The 27800-nt window shown below is 40.1% G+C and overlaps 1 long non-coding RNA gene across 1 annotated transcript in view, besides 4 other annotated features; it reads left to right on the top strand.

The window, feature by feature from the left end:
- LOC105375951 (uncharacterized) overlaps window positions 1-27800 on the top strand; it is a 261361-nt gene that overhangs the window by 150998 nt on the left and 82563 nt on the right. The gene's annotated exons all lie outside the window — the stretch shown is intronic.
- Window positions 19577-19626: an enhancer, noted in NCBI's record as "active region_28128". NCBI's record gives its function as "activates an Ori minimal core promoter by ATAC-STARR-seq in GM12878 lymphoblastoid cells {active_cell/tissue: GM12878}" and the evidence as "EXISTENCE:reporter gene assay evidence [ECO:0000049][PMID:35858748]".
- Window positions 23464-23743: an enhancer, noted in NCBI's record as "active region_28129". NCBI's record gives its function as "activates an Ori minimal core promoter by ATAC-STARR-seq in GM12878 lymphoblastoid cells {active_cell/tissue: GM12878}" and the evidence as "EXISTENCE:reporter gene assay evidence [ECO:0000049][PMID:35858748]".
- Window positions 23864-24143: an enhancer, noted in NCBI's record as "active region_28130". NCBI's record gives its function as "activates an Ori minimal core promoter by ATAC-STARR-seq in GM12878 lymphoblastoid cells {active_cell/tissue: GM12878}" and the evidence as "EXISTENCE:reporter gene assay evidence [ECO:0000049][PMID:35858748]".
- Window positions 27324-27373: an enhancer, noted in NCBI's record as "active region_28131". NCBI's record gives its function as "activates an Ori minimal core promoter by ATAC-STARR-seq in GM12878 lymphoblastoid cells {active_cell/tissue: GM12878}" and the evidence as "EXISTENCE:reporter gene assay evidence [ECO:0000049][PMID:35858748]".

Raw genomic sequence — 27800 nt, forward strand, 5'->3', positions numbered from 1 at the left:
TAAGCAAAGAATGTGGCTGCATTGTATCCACGTCTTAGAGCTTTGTGGAAGGTTGAACTCGAGAGTGACAACATAGGATATCTGGAGGAATACCTTAGGATAACCTGGGGTATCTGGAGGAAATTTCCAAGCAGCAAAGTGTTCAGGCATAGCTACTTCTAACAGCTTATGATCAGATTAGAAGCAAAAAAAATGACTTAAAGTTGAAACTTAAAAGGGAAGCAGAGCATGAAAATTTGCAGCCTGGCATTGTGGTACAAAAGGAAAAAGGATTTTCAGGAGAAGAATTTAAGTTGCCTGGGAAGCAACTGCATGCTGGAGAGATTTGCATGATGCAAAGAGAGCCAAGTGCTAATAATCAAAACAATGAAAAAAGGGTCTTGAAGACACTTGAGAGATCTGAATGGCCCCATCACAAGCCCAGAGGCCTAGGAGGAAAGAATGATTTTGAGGGCCAGGGCCAAAGCCCCACTGCTCTGCTCAGCCTCAGGATACTACTTCTCATATTCCCCCTTCTCTAGCCTTAGCTTTAGTTCAAAGGGCCCCAGATACAGCTCAGACTGCCTCTTCAGAGGGTGCAAACCATAAGCCTTCACAGCTTCCACATGGTGCTAAGTTTGCAAATGCACAGAATGCAAGAGTGAAAGAAGCTTGGTCGCTTCCACCTAGATTTCAGAGGATGTATAGGAAAGCCTGGGTGCCCAAGGAGAAGCCTGCTACAGGGGTGAAGCCCCTATAGAGAAAATTTACTAGGGCAGTGCCAAGAAGAAATGTGGGGTTGGAGCTTCAATACAGAGTACCCACCAGAGCACTGCCTAATTGAGCTGTGGGAAAGGGCTGCCACACTCCAAACCCAAAAATAGTAGAGCCACTGACATCTTGCACTCTGATCTTGGAAAAGCCACAGGGACTCAACTCCAAACTGTGAGAGCAGCCACAAAGGCTGCACCCTGAAAAGCTACAGACATGGAGCTGCCCAGGGTTTTGAGAGCCCACCCATCACAATAGTTTGCCCAGCATGTGGGACATGGAGTCAAAGATTATGTTGGAGCTTTAAGATTTAATGTCTGCCCTGCTGGATTTTACACTCGTGTCTTGAGCCTGTTGCCCCCTTCTTTTGGCCAACTTATCCCTTTACCCAATGCCTGTACCACCATTGTATCTTAGAAGTGAATAACTTGTTTTTGATCTTACAGATTCATAAGTGAAAGGAAATTGCCTTGAGTCTCAGATGAGACTTTGGACTTTTAGTAATGCTGGAATAAATTAAGACTTCTGGAGACTATTGGGGAGGATGATTGTATTTTGCAGTGTGAGAACATGAAATTTGTGGGGCCAGGAGAAGAATGATATGGTTTGGATATTTTGTCCTCTGCAAATCTCATGTTGAAATGTTAGAGGTGGGCCTAGTGAGAGGTGCTTGGGTCATGGGGGCAGATCCCTCATGAATGGCTTGGTGCTGTGCTAGTGGTAATGAGTGAGTTCTCACTCTATGAGTTCATGCACTATCTGGTTGTAGAAGAGCCCCAAATCTTCTTCCTCTCTCTATTACTCCTCTCTCACCATGAGACATGCCTGATCCTCCTTCACCTTTAGCCACAAGTGAAAGCTTCCTGAGGTCCTAACCAGAAGCAAATGCCAGCACTATGCTTCTTCTACAGCCTGCATAACTGTGAGCTGAGTAAACCTCTATTCTGTATAGATTACCAGCCCCAAATATTCCTTTACAGCAATGTGAAATGGACTGCCACAGATCCACTCTGCCCTCTTTTTTTTAGTTTTTTTAATTTTTTTAGTTCCACAGGTTTTTGGGGAACAGGTGGTATTTGGTTACATGAGTAAGTTCTTTAGTGGTGATTTGTGAGATTTTGGTGTACCCATCACCCGAGATACTGCCCTGTTTTCTATGACAGGCCTTCAGATACTTAAATATAAATCTTGTGACTTCTTCTAAGTCTTCTCTTTCCCCAAATACACACATTCTATTAGGAATATCATTTTCTCCTTCTGCCACATTTCTGTCCTGGCCCAAAATAGGAATTTTCACCTTCCAGAGGTATTGAGAAGGAATGTTTTCCTTGTTCCTGGTCCCCTGTCATTATTCTTCTCAAAGGCTGAGGAGCACCTTATCTAACTAGGTGTATTAATAAAGTCCTGAACATGTGAGGCTGAGCCTTTGATCAGGCATCTTTTTGGCTAACCTGCTAGAGAGATGAATGTGTTCACTTCTATTCCTGGTTCCATATGGTGATACCTGGCCAGGGCCTGGTGCTGCCTTCTAGAGACGTGGTTAGAGAACCTTCTCTGTCATTGCTCTTGATGTTAAACAGATACAAGGCAGACCACAGGCCTTCAGAGGGGCTGGGTCAGTGTGTCTCCTCTAGGTTCCATCCTTGCAAGTATAGCTCCCAAAATGTAGGTGCTGCAGGTCCAAGTCATATCCATGAATCCGGTATTGCCAGCAATAAAAATAATAGTTTTTACTCCTCTGTTTGTATTTCTCAATTGTGTCTAAACTTGAATGAGGAAAGAATGCAATTATTATTCATGAGGAAAACACTCAACATATTGCAATATACCACATGCATCATGGTTGCTAGTCTCTTGAACACTCTCCAGTGTGTCAAAGTCCCATCCCAGTGAGGTTGCCAGAACCGAACAAAACAATGAAGTGTGGATTGACAATATAGAAAATTCCCTGTGTTCTGGATATTAAAGCTTTTCAACTAAATAACTGAGTCACAGATACTTTACAAACACAGAGTCTGGATAATTTATAAAGATGTTATATTTTACTTGACTAGGATCTCCCAAAGAAAATTGGGAAAGTGGCTCCCCTGAAAGCCCAGTGGGCTACCACTAGCTTCCTCCCTGCCCTGACACTTTCAAATAGGCCTCTCACTTCTGAAAGCCAGGCATTAACAAGGCTTTTGGTCCCCTACTGTAGAGACCAGTACAAAGGAAAGGGGCAGACCATAAAGTTCTGTCACTTCTATTTCTTGGGAGCTGGCTCCAGGGTTCTTTCTGATTCCACAGTGTTGGAGGAAGGTGTTTCATTTAGTTTCCAAACCACAGGGAACTGGAACTTTGGGGAAGTTTTTGATCCTGTGGTTTATCAATCGTATCATTCTCTTTTCTGGGCTTACTGTTCCATGATGCAAGAGCTGCTGTCTATGTTCAGGAAGCTGGTCTTTTCTGTTATTCGTTTGACTAAAATATCAAGCAAGTTGTGGAATCCCTCAGTCTTGGAATGGATTCCTTTAATAAAACCAAAAAAAAAGTACGTCGGGGTTGAAGGGAAGGAATTATTCTGTTTAGTGAAGGAAAACTCAGTGATTTCTAAAATTGCTGAGGTCTAGATGGAGAGTGCTCAGTGTAGAGGGGATTCTCATCTGATTTAGAGTCTCCTCCCTCTGTTTTCCCTGGGAGCCCTCCATATCGAACCTTCCTGCTGCCACCACATTCAACTCCAGGGGTACATGTGCCCCATTTTCTAAGTTCTAGTTTAGTTTCCCTCAAAAGCAGAGCCTGGGGCAAGAACTTGAGTGCTGTTAGTTTATTTGGAGGCAATCCCAGAAAACATACATGAGGGATTAGGAAGTGAGATACAGAATGGAGAGAAGCCAATAAAGGATGTGTTAATGAGGAAGTTACTGCTGCAGTTACATTGGTCCCCGTCCTACTGGATATCCTCTAGAAAACTGTGAAATACACCTCCAAATTCACTCACAAGTCAAAAGAGGCTGGGGCATTTTCCCAGTGACTCTCATCCCCGTGGGCCCAGAGCTAGCCTGGAGGAATTAAATTCCCTGGCCATCCAGATTGTACCTCGTTTTGTGGAGCAAGCTCCTTTGATGTCAACAGAGGACCCTATCAGAGAAGAAGGGAGCAGCAGGTATCTGTACTGGGAAGCTGTGATGGAATGCCAGACGCCATCTTCTCTGGTAGCAGGTACACTCAGATAAGGCTAGCGGATGAGGTGGAGCATCCATGATGACTGATGTAAAACCCCAGGAGCCTACATGAAGGTGAAAAAAAAATCCTGCTTTTCTTGCTTTCCATTAGTCCAGATGAAAGAGGCGACTATTTAAAAACTCCTCCAAATTGTTAAGATGGAATAAGAAATAAAGGAAATAGAAACACACAAAGAAACATAGTAGACCAGGTCCTGAAATACAAGTTGCTGGTCCCCAGTAACTGCACTGTCTTCAAGGAGAGTACCAAACTGCCTACTTCCCTCTAAGCACCTGTCCATCTCCCCATGGTGAACACATTCTAGCTTTTGCCACACAGGACGACAGATTCTTGTCATTTTTATTGTCAAGGTCAAATGGACCACTCAGCCTCCTTCCTTGGCTGGTTTTCTTATATGAGAATAACTTGTGCATATTTTTCATATAACAGCTTATAATATTGGTCACCAAAACCATGGTCTCTAGAGCTAGATATCTCAGTTGGAATTTTGGCTTTTTACGTGTTGTGCAAATTTGGGCAAGTTACTTAATTGCTTTGTGCCTCAGTTTCTTCACTTGTAAAACAGAGATCATGAAAGAATCCAATCATTAAAGTTGTAAGGGTTTAATGAGTTAATATAGAAACAATGCCTGGTACATAAACACACTATACAAATATTGAATGTTCTTCTTATTATTAGGCTGTAGTTTACACATAGGTAATATCTCCCCTTTCAGCTTAACATAATGAAGTGACCTTCCATTTCAGAGCCACTCTATAATGCCATAACTACTCAATAGCCACAACCTGCAATAAGAATCAGGGCATACACAGTAATAAGAAGGTCTTTCTAATGGTGAGAACATTACTAGGCTGGAGTGAGTTGCTAGGGTTTTATTTCTTTCTTTAATGTGTGTGAATTTAGCCAAGTCTAGCAGAATCTTTTCTAGCCTTTCCTAACACCCTTAAATTGGAAGATAGATTTGCCAATCCTGGACTGGAACTGCTTGCCACAGGCAGAAATTGCCATCTTTAAACATGTTTGTCTCCTCTGTGGCTTCAGGTAGGCCAAACTAGAACTTTTCCGTAATGCTTCCCAAAGAAAGTACTATGATCAAGATGGCTGACTACCCAGCCCAGCACTCTCCTCCTACACAAGAAAGGAACAGAGCAGCAAATAGACAACTATATATTGAATAGACTGTCTAAGGAATTCTTGCTGGAATTTAGCAAGAAAGTGACGAAAATCCTCTGAGGCACAGAAACTTGGGATGGCAGCATAGAGGGGGAAGCAAAGCACCCAGCTGGGATTGACTTAGAGCCAAGAGGGATTCACCATTGTTAGGAAAAGGTTAACAGGAGATTCTCAAAGTCCACTTTGCCACCACAGATGCCCACAATACTAGCTACAAGAGAGCCCCACAGCCCTCTTAGGGTCCTAAGCCCAGTAGAGGGAACTGCATGGAATCTATGTGACTGCACTCTTCCAGAAAAGAAAATTTATACTGCATGCTCCTCACTCGCTGGGATCCAGCCTACTGCACCATGATGCAATTTTGAGAGAGAGGTCACCAGCAGAGTACATCCTGCCCTGGAGCTGAATAACCCCTGTATCTTTACATCCCTAGGGTTCACTGACACCTCACCCAGAGGACTGCAGCAACATAACACCAGCTGAACACAGCAGTGCAGCCATGACGCAGCATGAGCTCACACAGGGCCCTACACACCAGACACAGGCCATCCAGCACAGTAGGAGGCTGCACTTAGGGCAAAGGGAGCCAACATATGCACTCCCCACAGCCTAAAACCTGCCCACTTGCAACCTTGCCCCCTCCAGCAGCAGAGCTGCTGCACATGCGCATGTGCCACTCAAGGGCTTGAGGGCTAGCCTGCTTGAGGCCCACTGCTGCTGCTGGCAACCCCATTCCTCCAGTGGCAGAGCCACTACCTGTACACGCACCCCATCCCAATACTAGCTGCTCAGTTTCTCCACCCCAGCAAAGCTGCACCACAGCTTCCAAGAACAACTGCAGCCTAAGCCGTTGAGGCACTCACAGATACCAGTGACATTTATTACAGCCAAAAAAATCATATAGAGAATACACTACTGTGCCCACTCAGAACCAAAGCCAAAGCACTCTACCCAACCAACACTATAGGACACATCTACAGGAAAAAGTCTCCCTGTAGAACTATCTCATACAATTGAAAGAAGCAACTGTCTCACCAGATGCACATATATTAACATAGGAACAGCAGAAACAAGAAAAAGCAAGAAAATATGACACTTCTAAAAACACAATAATTCTCCAATAGCAGATCTTCCAAAAAAGGAAATCTATGAAATGTCTAAAAAGGGATCCAAGATAATGATCTTTTTTTTATGATTATTATACTTTAAGTTCTAGGGTACACGTGCACAACGTGCAGGTTTATTACATATGTATATATGTGCCATATTGGTGTGCTGCAACCATTAACTTGTCATTTACATTAGGTATATCTCCTAATGCTGTCCCTCCCCCTTCCCTACACCCCACAACAGGCCCCAGTGTGTGATGTTCCCCTTCCTGTGTCCAAGTGTTCTCATTGTTCAATTCCCACCTATGAGTGAGAACAAACTGAGATATAAGAGAACACAGACAATTCAACAAAATCAGAAAAACAATTCATGATCTGAATAAGAAATTCAACACAGAAATAAATAAATATCATTTTTAATAATGAAACAAATCTTGAAACCAAAGAATATATATATATATATACATACACACACACACACACACACACACACACATATATTAGAGAACTTCAACAATAGATTAGATCAAGCAGAAGAAAGAATTTCTGAACTTTAAAACTGGTTTTTTGGAATAAACCAGTCAGACCAAAAAATAATAGTAATAATAAATAGAAAAAAGATTTTAAAAGAATGAGGAAGGCCTATGGAATGCCATTAAGCAAACCAATGTTCACACAACGGGAATTTCAGAAAGAGAAGGAATAGAAAAAGGCATAGGTAACTTATTTAATAAAATAATAGCTGAATATTTTCCAAGTCTTGGAAAAGATACAGACATCTGGATATAGAAAGCTGAAAGAGTCACAAAAAAACACAATCCTCTCCAAGACACATTATAATCAAACTGTTAAAAAATAAAAAGGACCAGTCGCAGTGGCTCATGCCTGTAATCGCAGCACTTTGGGAGGCCGAGGCAGGTGGATCACCTGAGGTCAGGAGTTCAAGACCAGCCTGACCAACCTGGCGAAACCCTGTCTCTACTAAAAAATACAAAAATCAGCCAGGCGTGGTAGCATGCACCTGTAATCCCAGCTACTTGGGAGGCTGAGACAGGAGAATTGATTGAAGCCAGGAGGTGGAGGTTGCAGTGAGCCGAGATCACACCACTGCACTCCAGCCTGGGCGGCAAAGTGAGACTGTGTTTCAAAGAAAAAAAAAAAAAAGATAAAAAGAGAATTTTGAAAACGACAAGAGAAAAGCATCAAGTGACATATAAGGAAATCCCCATCACACTAACAGCAGAGTTCTCAGAAGAAACATTATAGTCCAGGAAACAATGGAATGATAAAGAGCCAAAAGAAGTAAAGTACCAGACAAGAATACTAGACCCAGTAAAGCTATCCTTCAGAAATCAAGGAGAAATCAATCTTTTTTAGTGAAACAAAAACTGAGGGAATTCATCACCACTAAACTAGCCGTATAAGAAATGCTTAAGCGATTCCTACATCTAGAAATGAAAGAATAATATCTACCCTCATGAAAAAACACAAAAGTATAAAACTCAGTGGTAGAGCAGATGTACAAATACAAAAGAGAAAGGAATCAAATATTATTACTACTAAAGATCACCAAACTGCAAAGATAAACAGTAAGAGAGGAAAAAAGAAACAAAGGATATATAAGACAATAAGAAAACACTTAACAAAAAGACAGGAGTAAATCCTCACATATCAATAACAACCTTGATTGTAAACCATTTAAATTCAGAATTAGAAGATATAGACTGTCTAAATGTATAAAAAAAAGACCAAACTGTATTCTGCCTCCACAAACTCACTTTACCTGTAAAAACACATATAGACTAAAAGTGAGGGGATGGAAAAAGATATTCTATACAAATGAAAACCACAAGTAAACAGGAATATCTATACTTACATCAGATAAAATAGACCTTAAGTCAAAAAAAGACAAAAAGAGACAAAGAAGGTTATTATGTAATGATAAATGTATCAATTCATCAAGAGGATATAACAATTGTAAATATGCATGTACCCAACACCAGAACATCCAGATATATAAAACAAATATTACTAAAGCTAAAGGGAAAGATAGACCCCAGTACAATAGTAGTTGAGAACTTCAACATCCCACTTTCAGGATTGGACCAGTAATCTAGATAGAAAATTAACAAACATTGGACTGAACCCGCAATATAGAATAGATGAACCTAACGAATATTTTATCCAACAGCTGCAGAACACACATTCTTCTCACCAGGACATGGAACATTCTCAAGGCAAAACCATATGTTAGGCAACAAAATAAATCTCAACAAATTTTTAAAAATCAAAGCAATATCCAGCCAAACTAAGCTTCATAAGTGAAAGAGGAAATCCTTTACAGACAAGCAAATGCTGAGAGATTTTGTCACCACCAGGCCTGCCTTACAAGAGGTCCTGAAGGAAGCACGAAACATGGAAAGAACAACCGGTACCAGCCACTGCAAAAACATGCCAAGTGGTAAAGACCATCGACGCTATGAAGAAATTGCATCAATTAACGGGCAAAATAACCAGCTATCATCATGATTACAGGATCAAATTCCAACATAACAGTCTTAACGTTAAATATAAATGGGCTAAAATACCCCAGTTAAAAGACACAGACTGGCAAATTGGATTAAGAGTCAAGACCCATCAGCGTGCTGTATTCAGGAGACCCATCTCACATGCAAAGACGCACAGAGGCTCAAAACAAAGGGATGGAGGAAGATCTACCAAGCAGATGGAAAGCAAAAAAAAGCAGAGGTTGCAGTCCTAGCCTCTGATAAAACAGACTTTAAACCAACAAAGATCAAAAGAGACAAGGCCACTACATAATGGTAAAGGGTTCAATTCAACAAGAACAGCTAGCTATCCTAAATATATATGCACTTAATACAGGAGCACCAAGATTCACAAAGCAAGTCCTTAGAGACCTACAAAGAGAATTAGACTTCTACACAGTAATAATGACAGACTTTAACACCCTACTGTCAATATTAGACAGATCAATGAGACAGGTTAACAAGGATATCCAGGACTTGAACTCAGCTCTGGACCAAGCAAACCTAATAGAAATCTACAGAACTCTCCACCCCAAATCAACAGAATATACATTCTTCTCAGCACTTATTCTAAAATTGACCACATAATTGGTAGTAAAACATTCATCATCAAATGTAAGAGAACAGAAATCATAACAAACTGTCTCTCAGACCACAGCGCAATCAAATTAGAACTCAGGATTAAGAAACTCATTCAAAACCACACAACTACATGGAAACTGAACAACCTGCTTCTCAATGACTACTGGTAAATAACGAAATGAACGCAGAAATAAAGATGTTCTTTGAAACCAATGAGAACAAAGACACAATGTACCAGAATCTCTGGGACTTGGCTAAAGCAGTGTATAGAGGGAAATTTACAGCACTAAATGCCCACAAGAGAAAGCAGGAAACATCTAAAATTGACACCCTAACATCACAATTAAAAGAACTAGAGAAGCAAGAGCAAACAAATTCAAAAGCTAGCAGAAGGCAAGAAATAACTAAGATCAGAGCAGAACTGAAGGAGATAGAGACACAAAAAACCTTAAAAAAACCATGAATCCAGGATGTGGTTTTTTGAAAAGATCAGCAAAATAGATAGACCACTAGCAAGACTAATAAGGAAAAAAAGAGAGAAGAATCAAATAGATGTAATAAAAAATGATAAAGGGGATATCACCACCAATCCCACAGAAATACAAACTACCATCAGAGAATACTATAAACACCTCTGCACAAATAAACTAGAAAATCTAGAAGAAATGGATAAATTCCTGGGCACATACACCCTCCCAAGACTAAACCAGGAAGAAGTTGAATCTCTGAGTAGACCAATAACAGATTCTGAATTTGAGGCAATAATTAATATCCCACCAACCAAAAAAAGTCCAAGACCAAAAAGTCCAATTCACAGCCGAATTCTACTAGAGGTACAAAGAGGAGCTGGTACCATTCCTTCTTGAAACTATTTCAATCAGTAGAAAAAGAAGGAATCCTCCCTAACTCATTTTATGAGGCTAGCATCATACTGATACCAAAGCCTGGCAGAGACACAACAAAAAAAGAGAATTTTAGACCAATATCCCTGATGAACATCGATGCGAAAATCCTCAATAAAATACTGGCAAACCAAATTCAGTAGCATATCAAAAAACTTATCCACCATGATCAGCTTGGTTTCATCCCTGCGATGCAAGGCTGATTCAACGTATGCAAATCAATAAACGTAATCCTCACATAAACAGAACCAACAACAAAAACCACATGATTATGTCAATAGATGCAAAAAAGGCCTTCAACAAAATTCAACAGCCCTTCATGCTAAAAACTCTCAATAAACTAGGTATTGATGGAACATGTCTCAAAATAAGAGCTATTTATAACAAACCCACAGCCAATATCATACTGAATGGGCAAAAACAAGAAGCATTGCCTTTGAAAACCAGCACAAGACAAGGATGCCTTCGCTCACCACTTCTATTCAACATAGTGTTGGAAGTTCTGGCTAGGGCAATCAGGCAAGAGAAAGAAATAAAGGATATCCAATTAGGAAAAGAGGAAGTCAAATTGTCTCTGTTTGCAGATGACATGATTGTATATTTAGAAAACCCCATCATCTCAGCCCAAAATCTCCTTAAGCTGAAAAACAACTTCAGCAAAGTCTCAGGATACAAAATCAATGTGCAAAAATCACAAGCATTCCTATACACCAATAATAGACAAACAGCACAATCATGAGTGAACTCCCATTCACAATTACTACAAAGAGAATAAAAAGAATCCAACTTACAAGGTATGTGAAGGACCTCTTCAAGGAGAACTACAAACCACTGCTCAATGAAATAAAAGAGGACACAAACAAAAGGAAGAACATTCCATGCTCATGGATAGGAAGAATCAATATTGTGAAAATGGGCATACTGCCCAAGGTAATTTATAGATTCAGTGCTATCCCCATCAAGCTACCAATGACTTTCTTCACAAAATGGGAAAAAAACTACTTTAAAGTTCATATGGAACCAAAAAAGAGCCCGCATCGCCAAGTCAATCCTAAGCAAAAAGAACAAAGCTGGAGGCATCACGCTACCTGGCTTCAAACTATACTACAAGGCTACAGTAACCAAAACAGCATGGTACTAGTACCAAAACAGAGATATAGACTGATGGAACAGAACAGAGGCCTCAGAAATAACACCACACATCTACAACCATCTGATCTTTGACAAACCTGACAAAAACAAGCAATGGGGAAAGGATTCCCTATTTAATAAACGGTGCTGGGGAAACTGGCTAGCCATAGGTAGAAGCTGAAACTGGATCCCTTCTTTACGTTGTATACAAAAATTAACTAAAGATGGATTAAAGACTTAAGTGTAAGACCTAATACCCTAAAAACTCTAGAAGAAAACAGGCAGTACCATTCAGGACATAGGCATGGGCAAAGACTTCATGTCTAAAACACCAAAAGCAATGGCAACAAAAGCCAAAACGACAGATGGGATCTAATTAAACTAAAGAGCTTCTGCACAGCAAAAACTATCATCAGAGTGAACAGGCAATCTACAGAATGGGAGAAAATCTTTGCAATCTACCCATCTGACAAAGGGCTAATATCCAGAATCTGCAAAGAACTTAAACAAATTTACAAGAAAAAAAACAACCCCATCAAAAAGTGGGCAAAGGATATGAACAGACACTTCTCAAAAGAAGACATTTATGCAGCCAACAGACATATCAAAAAATGCTCATCATCACTGGTCATTAGAGAAATGCAAATCAAAACCACAATGAGATAAATCTCACACCAGTTAGAATGGCGGTCATTAAAAAGTCAGGAAACAACAGATGCTGGAGAGGATGTCGAGAAATAGGAATGCTTTTGCACTGTTGGTGGGAGTGAAAATTAGTTCAACCATTGTGGAAGACAGTGTGGTGATTCCTCAAAGATCTAGAACTAGAAATACCATTTGAACCAGTGATCCCATTACTGGGTATATACTCAAAGGATTATAAATCATGCTACTATAAAGACACATGCACACATACGTTTATTGCGGCACTCTTCACGATTGCAAAAACTTGGAACCAACCCAAATGTCCATCAATGATACACTGGATAAAGAAAATGTGGCACATATACACCATGGAATACTACGCAGCCATAAAAAAGGATGAGTTCATGTCCTTTGCAGGGACATGGATGAAGCTGGAAACCATCATTCTCAGCAAACTATCACAAGGACAGAAAACCAAACACTGAATGGTCTCACTCATAGGCGAGAGTTGAATGACGAGAACACATGGACAAAGGGTGGGGAACATCATATGCTGGGGCCTGTCAGGGGGTGGGGGGCTAGGGGAAGGATAGCAGTAGGAAAAATACCTAATGCAAATGACGAGTTGATGGGTGCAGCAAAACCACCATGGCACATGTATCCCTATGTAACAAACCTGCACGTTGTGCGCATGCACCCTAGAACTTAAAGTATAATTTAAAAAGGAAAATTTTTTTAAAGTGCATACATTTTCAAAAATATGCATAGAAAAATATTTGAAAGGATGTATACCAGACTTTTTTAAATGGTCATTTCTTGATGGCATGATTATATGACTTTTTTTCTTTCTGTTTACCTATTTTTTTAAACTTTACATTATAAACTCATCTTAATCTCTGCCAACAAGAAAAAAAGTGCCGTTAATAATATCTGTAATATGAATGACATAACTTCTAGAATTATTAAGCTTGAGAAGTAGTGTGCAGAAAAGAGTTAACATAGCAGGTCTGACTACTATCCTTCAAAAGACCTGCTTAAAAGATGCCTCTTAGCTGGCATTTGGGAACTTAGATTTCAGAACAGTTCCTGCCACTCTAACTGGTAAGAGTGGCTCACCGTACCTAAATAATACGGTTTATGCTGAATATTTGCTTTCCTTCTGGGAGTTTGGAATTTCAGTGCATACTAGGCAGAAAATGTCTATGTAACCACACCCCCATAAAAACCTAGGTTTTGAGTCACTAATGATCTCCAGTAACACAAAATTTCACATATGTTACAATTTGTTGCTGCAAAAAAAATAAGTACACCCTGTGTGACTCCACTGGGAGAGGACTCTTAGAAGTCTGTACCTGTTTTCTTGGGATTTCACCCCATCATGCACTCTTCCCTTTGCTGATTTTTCTTTGTGTGCATTCACTGTAATAAATACTGCTATGAGGAGTATGACCATTAAAAAAATCAAAGCAATATCAAGTATCTTTTCAGACCAAAATGGAATAAAACTAGAAGTCAATAACAAGAGTAACTTTGGAAACTGTACGTAAAAATTAAGTAACATGCTCTTGAACAACCGCTGGGTCGATTAAATAAATTAAGAAAGAAAATGGTTTCTTGAATCAACTAAAAGTAAAATTATAGCATAGCAAAATCTATGGGATACAGCAAAAGCAGTACTAACAGAGAATTTTATGGAAATAAATACCTACATCAAAAACTAGACAGATTTAAGATAAACAACCTAAAAATACATCTCAAGGAACTAGAAAAGCAAGAACAAACCAAACCCAAAATTAGTAGAAGAAAAAAAATAATAAAGATTAGAGCAAAACTAAAGAAAATACAGACTGAAAAAAATATGCATAAGATGAATAAAATGAAAAGTTATTTTTTGAAAGATAAATAAAATCAATAAACCATTAACTAGATTAAGAAAAAAAGAAAGAAAATCTAAATAAAATCAGAAACAAAAAAGGAGACATCACAACTGATTTCACAGAGATGTAAAGGATCATTAGAGGCAATATGCCAACAAATTGAAAAGCCTAGAGGAAATGGATAAATTCCTGAACACATATAACCCACCAACACTGAACCCAGAAGAAATAGAAAAGGGAAACAGAGCAATCATGAGTAACAAAATTGAATCAGCAATAAAAAGTCTCCCAAAAAAGAAAAGCCCAGGACCGGATGGCTTCACTGCTAAATACTACCAAATATTTAAAGAAAAACTAACATTTACATCCATGTAGTATGGGAAATTAAAAAGAAAAACTAACACCAATTCTTCTCAAACTGTTCTAATAAAGTTGAGAGGGGTAATTTTTCCTAACTTATCCTATGAGGCCAGCATAATCCTGATACCAAAACCAGACAAGGACACAGCAACAACAAAAAAAGAAAACTCTAGTGAACATAGATGAAAAAATTCAAACAAAATACTAGCAAACTAAATCTAACAGGACATTTAAAAGATTATACACATGATCAAGTGGGATTTATCCCAGGGATGCAATGATGGTTCAACATACACAAATCAATAAATGTGATACATCACATCAAGAGAATGAAGGACAAAAAACATATGATCATCTCAATAGATGCAGAAAAGGCATTGGATAAAATTACACATTTCCTCATGATGAAAACTCTCAAAAACTTAGGTAGAAAAAACATACCTCAACAAAATAAAGACCATATAAAACAGCTAACATCATATTGAATGAGGAAAATAAAGTTTTCCTCTAAGAACTGGAACAAGACAAGAATGTCCACTTCTACCACTCGCATTCAACATAGTACTGGATGTCCTAGCCAGAGAAATTAAGCAAGAGAAAGAAAGGGCATTCACATTGGAAAAGAGTAGGTCAAACTGTACCTCTTTGTAGATGACATAATCTTATATATAGAAAAACCTAAAGACCTCACCAAAACACTCTTAGAACTGAAAGAGGAATTCAGTAAAATTTCAAAATACAAAAATCAGTAGCATTTTTATATACCAATAACTAGCTGAAAATGGAACAAAGAAAGCAATAACTACAACAAAATAAAAATCTCATGTTCATTAATAGGAAGAACTGATATTATGAAATGACCGTACTGCCCAAAGTAATCTACAGATTTAATGCGATCTCTTTCAAAATACCAATGACATTCTTCACAGAAATAGGAAAAACAATCCTGAAATTCATATTGAACCACAAAAGACTCCAAATAGCCAATCCTGAGCATAAAGAAAAAGTCGGAAGTATTATACCAGAAATACTAGATTTCAAAATATTCTACAAAGCTAAAATAACCAAAACACATGGTACTGGCATGAAAACAGACACATAGACTGATGGAACAGAATAGAAAAGCCAGAAAGAAATTTATACATTTATAGCCAACTGATTGATAAAGGCACCGTGAACACACACTGGGGAATGGCAGGCTTTTCAATAAATGGTGCTGAGAAAACTGGATATCCACATGCAAAAGAGTGAGACTATACCCTTATTTATCGCCATAACAGAAATTAACTAAAAATGGATTTAAGACTTAAATGTAAGGCTTAAAACAATAAAACTACTGGAAGAAAATATGAGAGAAATGCTTCATGACATTGGGCAAAGATTTTATAGGTACAACTTCAAAAACACAGGCAAAAAAGCAAAAATAGACAAATTGGATTATTTCAGACTAAAAAACCTTAAGCACAACAAAGGAAACAATTAACACACTGAGAGACAACCTGTAGAATGGGAGAAAATATTTGTAAGCTATTAACCTGATGAGGGATTAATATCCAGAATATTAAAGGAACTCAAACAATTCAATAGCAAGAAAAATAATCTGGTTTAAAATGGGCAAAGAATCTGAATAAATATTTCTCAGGTGAAAATATCTCTCAAATGGCCAAAAAGTATATTAAAAATGCTCAACATCACTAATCAGGGAAATGTGAATCAAAACCACAACGAGATACCATCTCAACCCAGTTAGAAAGGCTATTATTTAAAAAGACAAAAAAATAACAAATTCTGGCAAGGATGCAGAGAAAGGAGAACTCTTACACATTGTTGGTGTCAATACAAATTAGTACAGCTATTTTGGTCAATAGTATGGAGGTTCCTGAAAAAAACTAAAGATAGAACTATCATATGATCCAGCAATCCCACTACTAGGTACTTAGCCAAAGAAAAGGAAATTGACATATCAAAGAGCTATCTGTCCCCCTTGATATTTATTGAAGCACTAGTCACAGTAGCCAAGCTATGTAATCAACCTAGGTGTCCAAAAACAGATGAATGGTTAAGTAAAACGTGGTCTGTACACACAGTGGAATACTATTCAGCCATTAAAAAAGAATAAAATCCTGTCATTTGAGGCAACATGAATGAGTCTGTAGGGCATTATGTTAAGTGTAGTAAATCAGGCACAGAAAGATAAATACTACATTTTCTCACTCATATGTGGTAGCTAAAAAAGTTGAGCTCATAGAAGTAGAGAGTATAATTGTGATTATTAGGGGCTGGAAAGAGGAGGGAGGAGAAGAGGGTAAGAAGTGGTTGGTTAATGAATACAAAATTGCAGCTAGATAGGAGGAATAAGTTCTAGTGCTCCATAGTACTGTAGGGTGACTATAGTTAACAACGATTTATTATATATTTACATATAGCTAGAATAGAGGATTTTGAATGTTCCCAACAGAAAAAAATGATAAATGTTTGAGGTGATGCATATGCTAATTGTTCTGATTTGATCATTATACATTGTATATATGTATTGAAATATCACTCAGTATGCCATAAATACATATAATTATGATGTCAAGTTTTTTAAAAAAAGACTACTATGAAGCAATTATTAGGCTGGGCATGGTGACAGAAACCTGTAATCCCAGTACTTTGGGAGGCCGAGGTGAGCAGATCATGTGATGTCAGGAGGTCAAGACCAGCCTGGCCAAAATGGTAAAAACCCATTTCTACTAAAAATACAAAAAATTAGCCCGGCGGATGGTAGCACATACCTGTAACCCCAGCTACTCACTCAGGAGGCTGAGGCAGGAGAATTGCTTGAACCTGGGAGGCGGAAGTTACAGTGAGCCGAGATTGTGCCACTGGACTCCAGCCTGGGCAACAGAGTAAGACTCTGTCTCAAAAAATAAAATAAAAATAAAGAAATTATTATACATTTGTCTGATTAAACTACATCTTTTTTCATTCTGTCCATTTTTTGAAAGTTTATAAACATCTGCATTAGAAAAAGATAACGGAAACCAACTTCATCAGTTGGGCTAGTTGCTGCAGCAAAAGTCTGAATGGTCCAGTTTCTGAATAGCTAAAGAAAACCATCTATTTATGTGTTCCTTGCTATGGATAAATGGACATTTAATTTTTCTGTAGCCAAGAAGCCATCCTGTATCATCCTTTCTCCCTAGACTTATATTTCTGGAAAACTACCACAATGGTGTGAAATTGCAAGGAGTTGCTTCCGGTTCACAGTGAGAGCTCAAAACTTGAGTCATTCTACGTAGGTGCCACTGGTATGGAAGATGCTGTAAGAATAGGACACCTTGAATTTGCATTAGCCTAAGTCTTGCTTCCTCTCTCCTACCTCCCCTTAATTACAAAACACAAATCACTTCACCTCCTCTGGTACAGAACAAATTGACCTCTACTCCCCCCTGGTGGATCACTACAGTATGCTGGGCGAGTCACTTCTGAAATCGCCGCATGGGCCCTTAAGACTTAATAAATCAAGGGCCACCTCTTGTGAGCCTTACATGTTCTAGTCCAACGTACTAGTTATTTAGAGCTGAAAAGTAATCTGCCCCCATATTGTGCTAGTATTTTTTGGCTTGTGTCTTCCAAGTTGTTCCTTTATTATTCCAATGTTGCATTCTTTATTGTGATTGCCTGGTTACTTGTCTATCTCCCCAAATAGACCATAAACCACAGAAACACAATAATGTGAAGTGATTTTCTTGAGGCCACATAATCAGGAGAGGATCCCAATATAGAAATCAGGTTTCTCTATTCATGAGCCATTGTGCTGTTCATTCACAGCGATGTTCTGTGTTCTGAAATCTCTTTCTCAGAAGAAGCATTGAGATGGCAACACACCAGGGCTCAGAAAACAGATCCTGCTGTCAGCTCAGTCACGCATCTCGCCAAGCCCCTAATGTTTCTCATCTGAACAATGATGGTAGTTTCTTCAGACCATTGCTAAGGTTCAGTACAACTTCGAATATCTAGGATTCAACTGGAAAGAATTGCCATTCATGGGCAGTTGTAACACATTGAGAGAGAGAGAGAAAAGAGAAAGAGGGAGCATTCATCTATTAATTAAACAAATATGTCTTCATTTAACAATTATTCAGCATCTGCAACATGCCAAAGTGGATGCCAGATACACTGGTGAACAAAAAACACAATGACCTTGACCCTGAGAACTTTTGTCTTGATCCTTGTGGAGTCACTGGCCAGTGCCTCTCATTGATGATCCCAGATAAACAGATTGACAGGCCTTTGATCAGCACGCTATTTTGAAGAATTCTCTCATGGATATGTGTTTGTGTGATGGGGTAGGAGAGAATGCTGGTGACAACTGCCACACTTAAAATTAGCATATCTCAAATTCTTGAAACAAACAAAAACAAATAAACAGCAGCAACAAAACAGACTGGGTATGTCCAGCACAGGTGTCCCCTGCCTGTAAATGTGCAGTTTCCCTAAATCAAGCCGTGGTTGCTCTCTGCTGCCAAGATGCCAATGGGAGTGCCCAATTAGTGCCAATTTGTTTCTTGTAATACAGACACCTGTCACCAAAGAGCTTGATAAAAATAACCATCTCAGTCACTGCAGATCCAAACTGGGCTCTAACTAATCACCTAGAGGTAAATAGGAAGGCTTCAAATCCCACTGCAAATTCTCCAAGGGACTCAGTCCCTCTGACTGTGGACAAATTTATGCCGTATTTCTCACTGATGGCAAGACACCAACTGGCAATTGATATTTTTTTTTCTTTAAATGCAAGTTATCAGCCTTTCCTCCCAGTCAGCTACAGGCTTCCCCCTGGCAGTTCAAGACTCAGGGTGATAATGGATTATCTTTACTTTTAATAGCAAATCACCTTCCACTGAGATGGAATGAATGCTGCAGGAGAAGGAGAACAGATTTCACCAAGAAGTCCTTTAACTCTCTTCAGGAAACATCTCTAGTTCAAGCATTTAAAAAAAAAAAAATAACCTTTAAAAACTAACCAGGTTTCCGCTGTGTGGTTGAGCCAGCCATGAGGGTTGTGCTGGTTACATCTGAATTAGCCCTGCTTGACAATCACTTTCAAACTCTGTTGTACTTCATGCCAGCAGTTTCACTCCCTGGGTGTGCAATCGTATGGGGCAGATGCCTTCGAAGGAGCTATCGGACCCAGATGAAGAACATATAATATACAATAAACAAATGAGAAGGCAAGACATTTTTACAGAATCACCCAGGCAGGAAAATCAGCACGTCCTGCTCTTCAATAGTGGGCCCATCTAGCCTACTGCTTTATGGGGAGCAGAAATGCCTGGAATCTAAATCTGCCACAGGAGGCGTTTCTTTGCCTCCTCTCGATGCTGTGAGCTGAATGGTAGATTGCATCACCTCCATTGTAAGGCAGCTCTCGTTATGAGAAACCAAACATAGAGCCTGGCTCCTAACTGGAGTATTAATAATGAAAATGGATTATGTGCATCCTGTTTGCTAAGCAATTATCCCAAGGCAGGGATTGAGTCCAGATTTTTTGCCTCACTGCCTGAGTGGCAGAATGTGAATAGATAGACAGGTATTTGCATGCAGTGTCTCTGACCTGGAGAAAATGTCAGGAGCTTTATAGACTGCAGTGAGAGCTGCAGATGCATATTCTTTTCAAACATGGCTGGGTTTTGCAGTCTATTCTTGGAAAAGGCAAAGAAAGGGGGAAAGAGTTGGATTTGCTGTTACTGTTTAAAGATATCCTCCTGAGTCAAGGTGAGATTATTTTATTTTGCCCACCTTAAGTTTTTTATTAACTGGAAGTGACTTCAGCTCCTACCTTCTCAAGGAAATGAAATGAGTTTTATTTAGTTGATGGCGAGGAATACTTTCCCTGGATGTTTAATAGACCTGGGTCTGATCTGCTGAACCTAGGCACATTTTAATGAGAGGAGGCATTTCTCTAATGCTTCAGATGTACATTTTCTTCTTCTCCTCCTCTTTCGCTTGCTGTGATCCTGCAAGGTGGCAACTGACTTCCTCTCTCTGATGCTCATGCTCTATTTCAGGGCTATATTTCCAGGGTGAAATGAATCCTGCATAGGTGTATGCAGTACTTTAGAATCCTTCAGAGTAAGCCCTGCCACAGCTGTGTCACCTCCAGTCTCTGCTCACCACCCTCCTCCTTTGTCTTGCACTCACATGTTAAGTTGCAGGATGGAGAGATGGTAGTGGAAGTTCATGCGGACAAGGCTCATTTTCACGGGACCACAGAGAGTAGTCCTACAAGACTCAGGCAGGTAGCAGGGGCAGCACACCCCTAATCCTGTGGCAGAGGTCACTCAAACCCTAACACAGATTTTACACTCAGTTAAAATTGCCTGGGGAATGGATAAACAACTGTAATACATCCATGTGGTAGAATACTACTCAGCAATAAAAAGGAACAAATTACTTATATATACAACACCGTGAAAAAATTATCTAATTCGTTATTCTACGTGAAAGAAGTCAGACTCGAAAGACTACATACCGTATGATTCCAAACTGGAAAGGTAAAACTATAGGGACCAAAAACAGATGAACAGTTTCGAGGGCTGCAAGCAGAAGGAGAGGCTGACTTAATAGGATGACCAAATCACCTTCATTTGCTTAGAACTGTCCCAGTTTTAGCTCAAAATGTCTCCATCCCAGAAACCCCTCAGTCCTAGACAAATTGGGACAGCTGGTCTCCCTGGAGCTTGACTACAAAGGGACACAGAGAACTTTTGAAGGGGATAAAACTGTGTTTTTAAAGCTCAGAGAACTGTACACTTACTTAAAAGGGTGAATTTTACTCTATGTAAATTATAACTTAATAAGTGAATGGGAAGAATTGCCCAGTCTCTCCTGTGTCTCTCCACTGGGCAGTGGGCTCTCTTATATGCAAGGATTTCATCTGTCCCATGCCACTGTCCCCCCTGGCACCTAGTGCTGTGCCTGGCATGACATAATTTGCTAAAAGCATGCATGCTCATTTTCCTCAGATGCTACGCGTCGTGTCAACACCAGTGGATTCTTTAAACAATCCAATGGTGACTAAACATGACATTTTCTTCCTGGAAATGCTCGAATTAAGGTTTTCTCTGTTTCTTTTAGGTTGTGAGTTGATCGACGTGCTCTCAATATGATACAACTATAGTTATCAGTGTTTTCTAAATACATTGAACATAACAAATTCCTGGAGTGTTTAAAAAAAAAAAATTCCTGGAACTCTACCCAGGTTGACCAAAGCTGAGCTTCCAGGGGAATGGCCTGGGAATGTGTATATTTTTAAAGTTTCTCAGATGATTCTTATGATCAAATAAGGAAAGCAGAAAGAAAACTGTGGTGTCAGACCTCAGCACTGGCCTTTAGGGCTGGTCAACACATCTAAAATGTGATCCTTCTATCAGAGTCTTTCCCTTGAGGAGTCATTCATTCATTGATTCCATCTGAGAACTAGTTATTGAGCAACTACTCTAATACTACAGCCTGAAAACAGGACAAACAAATACACGGGATAAGTTCAATCACTGCCAGGAACTGCGACAGGGCTAGGTACCACTTCAATACAAGTCAGGAAGGATGCAATTCTTGTTGATTTCTGGCTCTAACCTCATGCTGGTTTCCCATGGGGAGTGTACTTGGAATGCCACAAACATGTTCTCATCCCAGCATTGCCAAAAACATCTGCCACAGACTAGCCTCAGCGTCTGCAAACATGAAGGGAAAGACCTAGACATTGATCCCCAAGGTCGTCTTCTAGGCCTGACATTGTATGTTTCTGGAGTTTATTATTGTAATCAAATAAAACGAATCTGATACATATTTAATGATATACATAATTGTTATTATGCTGCATGATAATTAGCTATCAATGGTAAGCAGTTCACAGAAATGACTGTAATTAGTATTTCTTATACACAGTCAACCCAAGTTTGGGGTTTTTCTCTCGTCTCACTTTTTTATTCTGTAATCAGCATCAGAGTTCTCTGTTCTTCTACACTATGTATCATTCCAGGATAATCCGTGTCCTTCTCTCACACACACCAGCTTAGGGATATTGATGCTTGAAAACATCAAGGCCCAGGATATTCTCTTCAGAAGCTAACCAATCCGGAGAGTGCTGTGTTACTGCATTCCCTGCTACCTCCAGGAGACCTTTCAGATACTGCTTTCTTGGCCAGGTGTGGTGGCTCATGCCTGTAATCCCAGCACTTTGGGAGGCCGACGGGGGCGGATCCCTTGAGTTCAGGAGCTCCAGGCCAGCCTGGCCAACATGGTAGAACCCCATCTCTATCAAAAAATACAAAAATTAGCCGGGTGTGGTGGTGTGTGCCTGTATAGTCCCAGCTACTTGGAACGCTGAGGTGGGAGAATTGCTTGAACCCTGGAGGTGGAGGTTGCAGTGAGTGGAGATTGCACCACTGCCCTCCAGCCTGGGCAACAGAGCAAGACCCTGCCTCAAAAAAAAAAAAAAAAAAGATATTGCCTTCTGTTAGCTTCTTCCTCTGCTGTCTCAGGTGCAGCAAGGACCTAAAGGAACTGCAAAAAGTTTAGACAATCAGAATTTTTCCATGAAGGAATGGGAAATCCAACAGGGGAGATAATACATGAGGATGGACCTGATATCTTGGTTTCTGAGACTCTGGCAGCAGAAGGGAAGGTGTGTTAGTTTCCAGGGCTTCCACAACAAAACACCACAGATGAGGTGGCTTAAACAACAGAAACTTATTTTCTCACAATTCTGGAGGCGAAATGTCTGAGATCAAGATGTCAGCAGGTTTGGTTTTCTCTGAGGCGTCTGTCCTTGGCTTGCAGATGGCTGTCTTCTCACTGTGTCCTCACATGGTCTTCTGCTATGCACACACATGTCTGGTGTGTATGTCTCTCTCTAGGTCGAAATTTCCTCATCTTGTATGGATACCAGTCATATACGATTAGGGCCCACCTCAAAGCCCTCATTTTAACCTAATCATCTCTTTGAAGACCTCATCTCCAAATATGCTCACCTTCTATAAGGTACCGGAGGTTAGGACTGCAACATGTGAATGGGTACAGGAACGTAATGCAGCCCGTAACAGAAGGGAAACTGCGAGGAAGAGCTAACTCTCCAAATATACAAAATCCAGTATCTCTCCAGGTCTAACAACTTCCAGAGCTTCCTTTCTGAGACTCCTTAACACCAAAGCCATGCCCCCAGCTAATGACTAGCATCTAGCCACCTTAAACAAAATCTCCCTTTCCACAAGCAAGAATGAAAGTCTTAAAAGATGTAAATACCTGGGAAAGTGAGCCTATGGGTGAGAAATAATTTCTGGCACCTTGTCAAGGCTCTTTCCTGTTGTGATAATGGGAGGGCAGGAGGCCGAGGGTGAACTTTGGGAACTTTGTGGTTGCTGGGAAGTCCCCATTGGTCTTCTCTGCTGGCCAGCTGGTGGCTGGGTGGAAAGGATCATGGTCAGCTGAGTGAGCCAGCATGCCTTGGGCCCCAGTGAGCTTGCAGACTGTTGCTTCCACTGCACTCTCTGTTCTTGCCCCCCGCCCCCATCCTCCCTGCCTTCTGAGCGCCAGACTATGATTCTCATAGTGAGATCTGAAAACAGAAACTCCAGAATGATAGAAACTTGCTAGCAAAGCTTTAGTAATAACAGCAGCAATGGGGAAAAGCCCCAAAACCTCCTAAGATAGTTTTCTGAGGGCAAAGAGCAGCAACGTGGACTCCTAACAGGCCACATGTGTTTCTCTCATTCTGCCCAGCCCCTCACACGGCAGGAGAGGCATAATAGCACTTGGTCAGGAGTAAAAATAGAAATGGATGCGAAGAAAAGCAGACCCAGGGACAGAATGGAAAAACTATGAATATATAATTCTGGAAAAGAATTTTACTTTAACTTGGTGTTTTCACATTATAGGCCTTCTCTATTCTCTTTCTAAAATCTCAATCTAAGAACAGGATGCCCAAATTTCAATCTTCCTTCCCTATTACCACGTCAGTCAGCTGGTCATATAACCTCTCTTGGTGTGGTTTCTGTATCCTTAACTTGAAGGGCTTAGGAAACACCATCTCCGATCCTGCTTAGATATTTTCTTCTGCAAATATATTTTGACAAAACAAAACTGAGCCAATTAATTAGCAGGGCAAGACTTAGTTACTGTTGTACCTCTTTGGTTAGATGTCCCAGCTAACTTATATGTACTAAAATCTCATATTCTGTTTCTGATGAAACTTGTAATTTACTCATCAATAAAGTGGGGATAATATTTGTCTCACTGGGCTTTGTGAGAATTTGATTATATACAGGATGTGAAGGAGACAATGGCTGCTGAATAATAGATGCTGAGTGTTAGTACTTATCATATAAGCCCTGGTAACCCCCTTTGTGCCTGGCTTGGTTGATATGCAGTAAATATTTGACTGCATATTGGACTACTTGTGAAAGTAAGTTAGAGACACCGCTTGGGGCAGGACCTAACACAAATACAAACCAAAGGGACTAAAGAGTATCAACAATAGTGGGGAAATAGTTATCTGTCCTTTTTCTGTCTGTGAAACAATGCTCAGTACCTAAGCACACAAACCCAGGATTTCCATGAAGGTACATTATTTGTCATATTTTAACGTGTTTGAGGCATAACCGCGAGAACCACAATGGAACATGATGATCTGGGAAGGGCCAAGGCCTATAACAGGTGGTCCAGGTGATCACCAGTAATATTGGGAATAGAACTGTGCTCACAGGGGCGGGCTGAAAATGAAATCAGCAGCAGTGCTGGTGGCATTATTGAGCCCTTAAATGCTTTACTAGTTATTTCATTTTATCATCACAACTCTTAGATATGATACTGATAGTCCCACTTTTTTCTGATAAAGAAACTGTAGTTGTGAGAGGCTAAGAATCTTGCCCAAGGTCACAGAAGTAGTGAACGGTCATTCCTAGATTTGAATGCAAGACTGCCTTCCTCCAAAGCCCTTGTACACTCCACTTCAGTGGTGGACAATCCTGGAGCAGGCTCTCTTCAGAATCAGGGACCTGCATTAGGGATATTGGCCAGGTGGGAACTGAGGGACCAAGGCATTAATCTAGGGTCAAGACAAAACTCCAGAGGTGAATAAAAGCCAGGCAAAAAAACAAGGAGAGAGCCCTGACAGGTCGCCAAGGTGGGATCTCAGGCACAGAGAACAAGGCAGAGTTCCCAAGTGTAGCTTGGGGCATAGGGAGAATCTAGGGACGAGGCAGAAATTTTATCTTAAGAATTAAGATAGAAGGTCTGAGGCAAATAAGTGGCCCAAATGACTCAATAGTCCAGCATATTGGGCAGAAGCCCAAGATTGTAGTTTCTCCTAGAACCTGGAGTGGGGCTGAATCTACAAAAGGATGGGAGAAGGAGAAGGAGGTCAAAGGGTCCCTATGGGAGAGAGAAATGTTCTGGCTCACTGGATGTTTTGGTGATCAGACCAGACACGTCTCCCAGAGGATTCAAATGACCAATTTTGGTGCCCTCTGTTGTCACTGATGTTATCTACAAGACTCAGGAAGTTTGTGCATATGGCAGACAATTCCCCAAGACAAGTCTGTGGACATTCTTTGCGTTAATAAGGACTTTTTTTTTTTTTTTTGAGATGGAGTTTCATTCTTGTTGTCCAGGCTGGAGTGCAATAGTGCGATCTCGGCTCACTGCAACCTCTACCTCCTGGGTTCAAGCGATTCTCCTGCCTCAGCCTCCCAAGTAGTTGGGATTACAGGCATGCACCACCATGCCTGGCTAATTTTGTATTTTTTTGGTAGACATGGGGTTTCTCCAGGTTGGTCAGGCTGGTCTTGAACTCCCGACCTCAGGTGATCCGCCTGCCTCGGCTTCCCAAACTGCTGGGATTACAGGCATAAGCCACCACACCAGGCCTTCTTTTTTTTTTTTTTTTTTTTTTGAGACAGAATTTCTCTCTTGTCACCAGGCTGGAGTGCAGTAGCGTGATCTCAGTCCACTGCAACTAAAGAGGACTTTCTAAACAGCCTCATAGAAATCTGTTTTCTAGTATTACATGTAACTAAAACTGAGGCTTCTTAATGCCATCTCAGCATGAGTATCCTACAAAAAATAAAAACTGGCATTCATATAAGCATTGACAAGTAATTTAAATATTTACTGAAATCTCTGAGGCACCAAAGAAGCATATTACATTTTATGATACAAAAAAATCCTAATGATCCTCGTCAGCTATTTTTCTCCCCAAAGTTCCACTCATTACTGCTGTTGCTTGCCATTTCCCAAAAATTACTTCTCTCTTTCTCTTCAACTATCTAAAAAATCCCCACCCATGATAGAAAGCAGAAGTAAGAAAGCTATAATTAATATGTACCATTTGATATCCTATCACAGACTTTCTGGATGAATTGTAAACAGAAAACCAGTGTTAAGAGTGCTGTTGGCCATTGTTTGTTGCTTCTTTGCTATTCCTGTTAATACTTTCCAAGTGTCCCCCTCCCGTTGCCACCAGCGGGATACACTCATTCATTCTACCAACCAAAATTCAAGACTTGATTTCCCACAGTGCATAGTGAAGTAAGAGACATATAGGACACGAGTCTTGCCCTCAAATAACCTAGAATTGAATAAGGGCAATAGAGCACACACCCAAATTACTACAATAGAGTAACAGTATTAAGTGACTGATCCATAAAATGTGGATTAAGATCCCAGAAAATCTGGGAGATGAACTGATACAAATCATACAGTGTAATTACTGCTTACTTCCACCTCTCTCACTAAGACACAACCCCCAGCTCCCTCTCTAGTCACATGCTCCAGACAGATTTCTCCATAATATTAGCTTGAAGGAAAATACAATCAGATCAACAAGGACCTAAGTCCCAGAATGAAAGAAAAAGAATGCGCTCAAAGAGAAAGTGGAGTGTTTGTCGAATGAAAGAACAATCTGACAGATGGCTTTGTGGGGGCGTAACCTAGAACCCATAAGAATTTTGTTATCAGTAGATCTTACTAATCTAGGCTGTACAGTGACTATCACCAAGATAATTTCTAAAAAAGCAATCTGATTATGTCTTATTTGAAATGTCTCATCACTTTTGAGATTTCCCCTTGTCCTCCGATTATGACTCACAAGTTCATTTTTGAGTAGACTCCTAGCTATCTCTCTAGCCACATATCATACTCCTCCTCATGCCTGTACATTTTCTGCTTCAATCTGACTTTACCATTTGCAGTAATGGGTAATATCTGCATCCCAAGACTACCCCCTTCATATCCTTATCATATAGCCCTATAATTGCATTTTCCCAAGTTTTTCAACTACCAGACAATAAGCAGACACAGGCCAAGGTCTACCATATTCACCATTGCATCCCTAGATCCTTTCTCAATGCCAGGCATATAGTAAATATTTAATGAACATTGCCTGAATGACTAACCGAAAACATAAGGAAATCACTGCCTGTCTTGAGTTGGGTTTCCTGAAACCGTACTCTGAG

This window comes from Homo sapiens, chromosome 9 (genome assembly GCF_000001405.40).
Source record: "Homo sapiens chromosome 9, GRCh38.p14 Primary Assembly".
Taxonomy (NCBI): domain Eukaryota; kingdom Metazoa; phylum Chordata; class Mammalia; order Primates; family Hominidae; genus Homo; species Homo sapiens.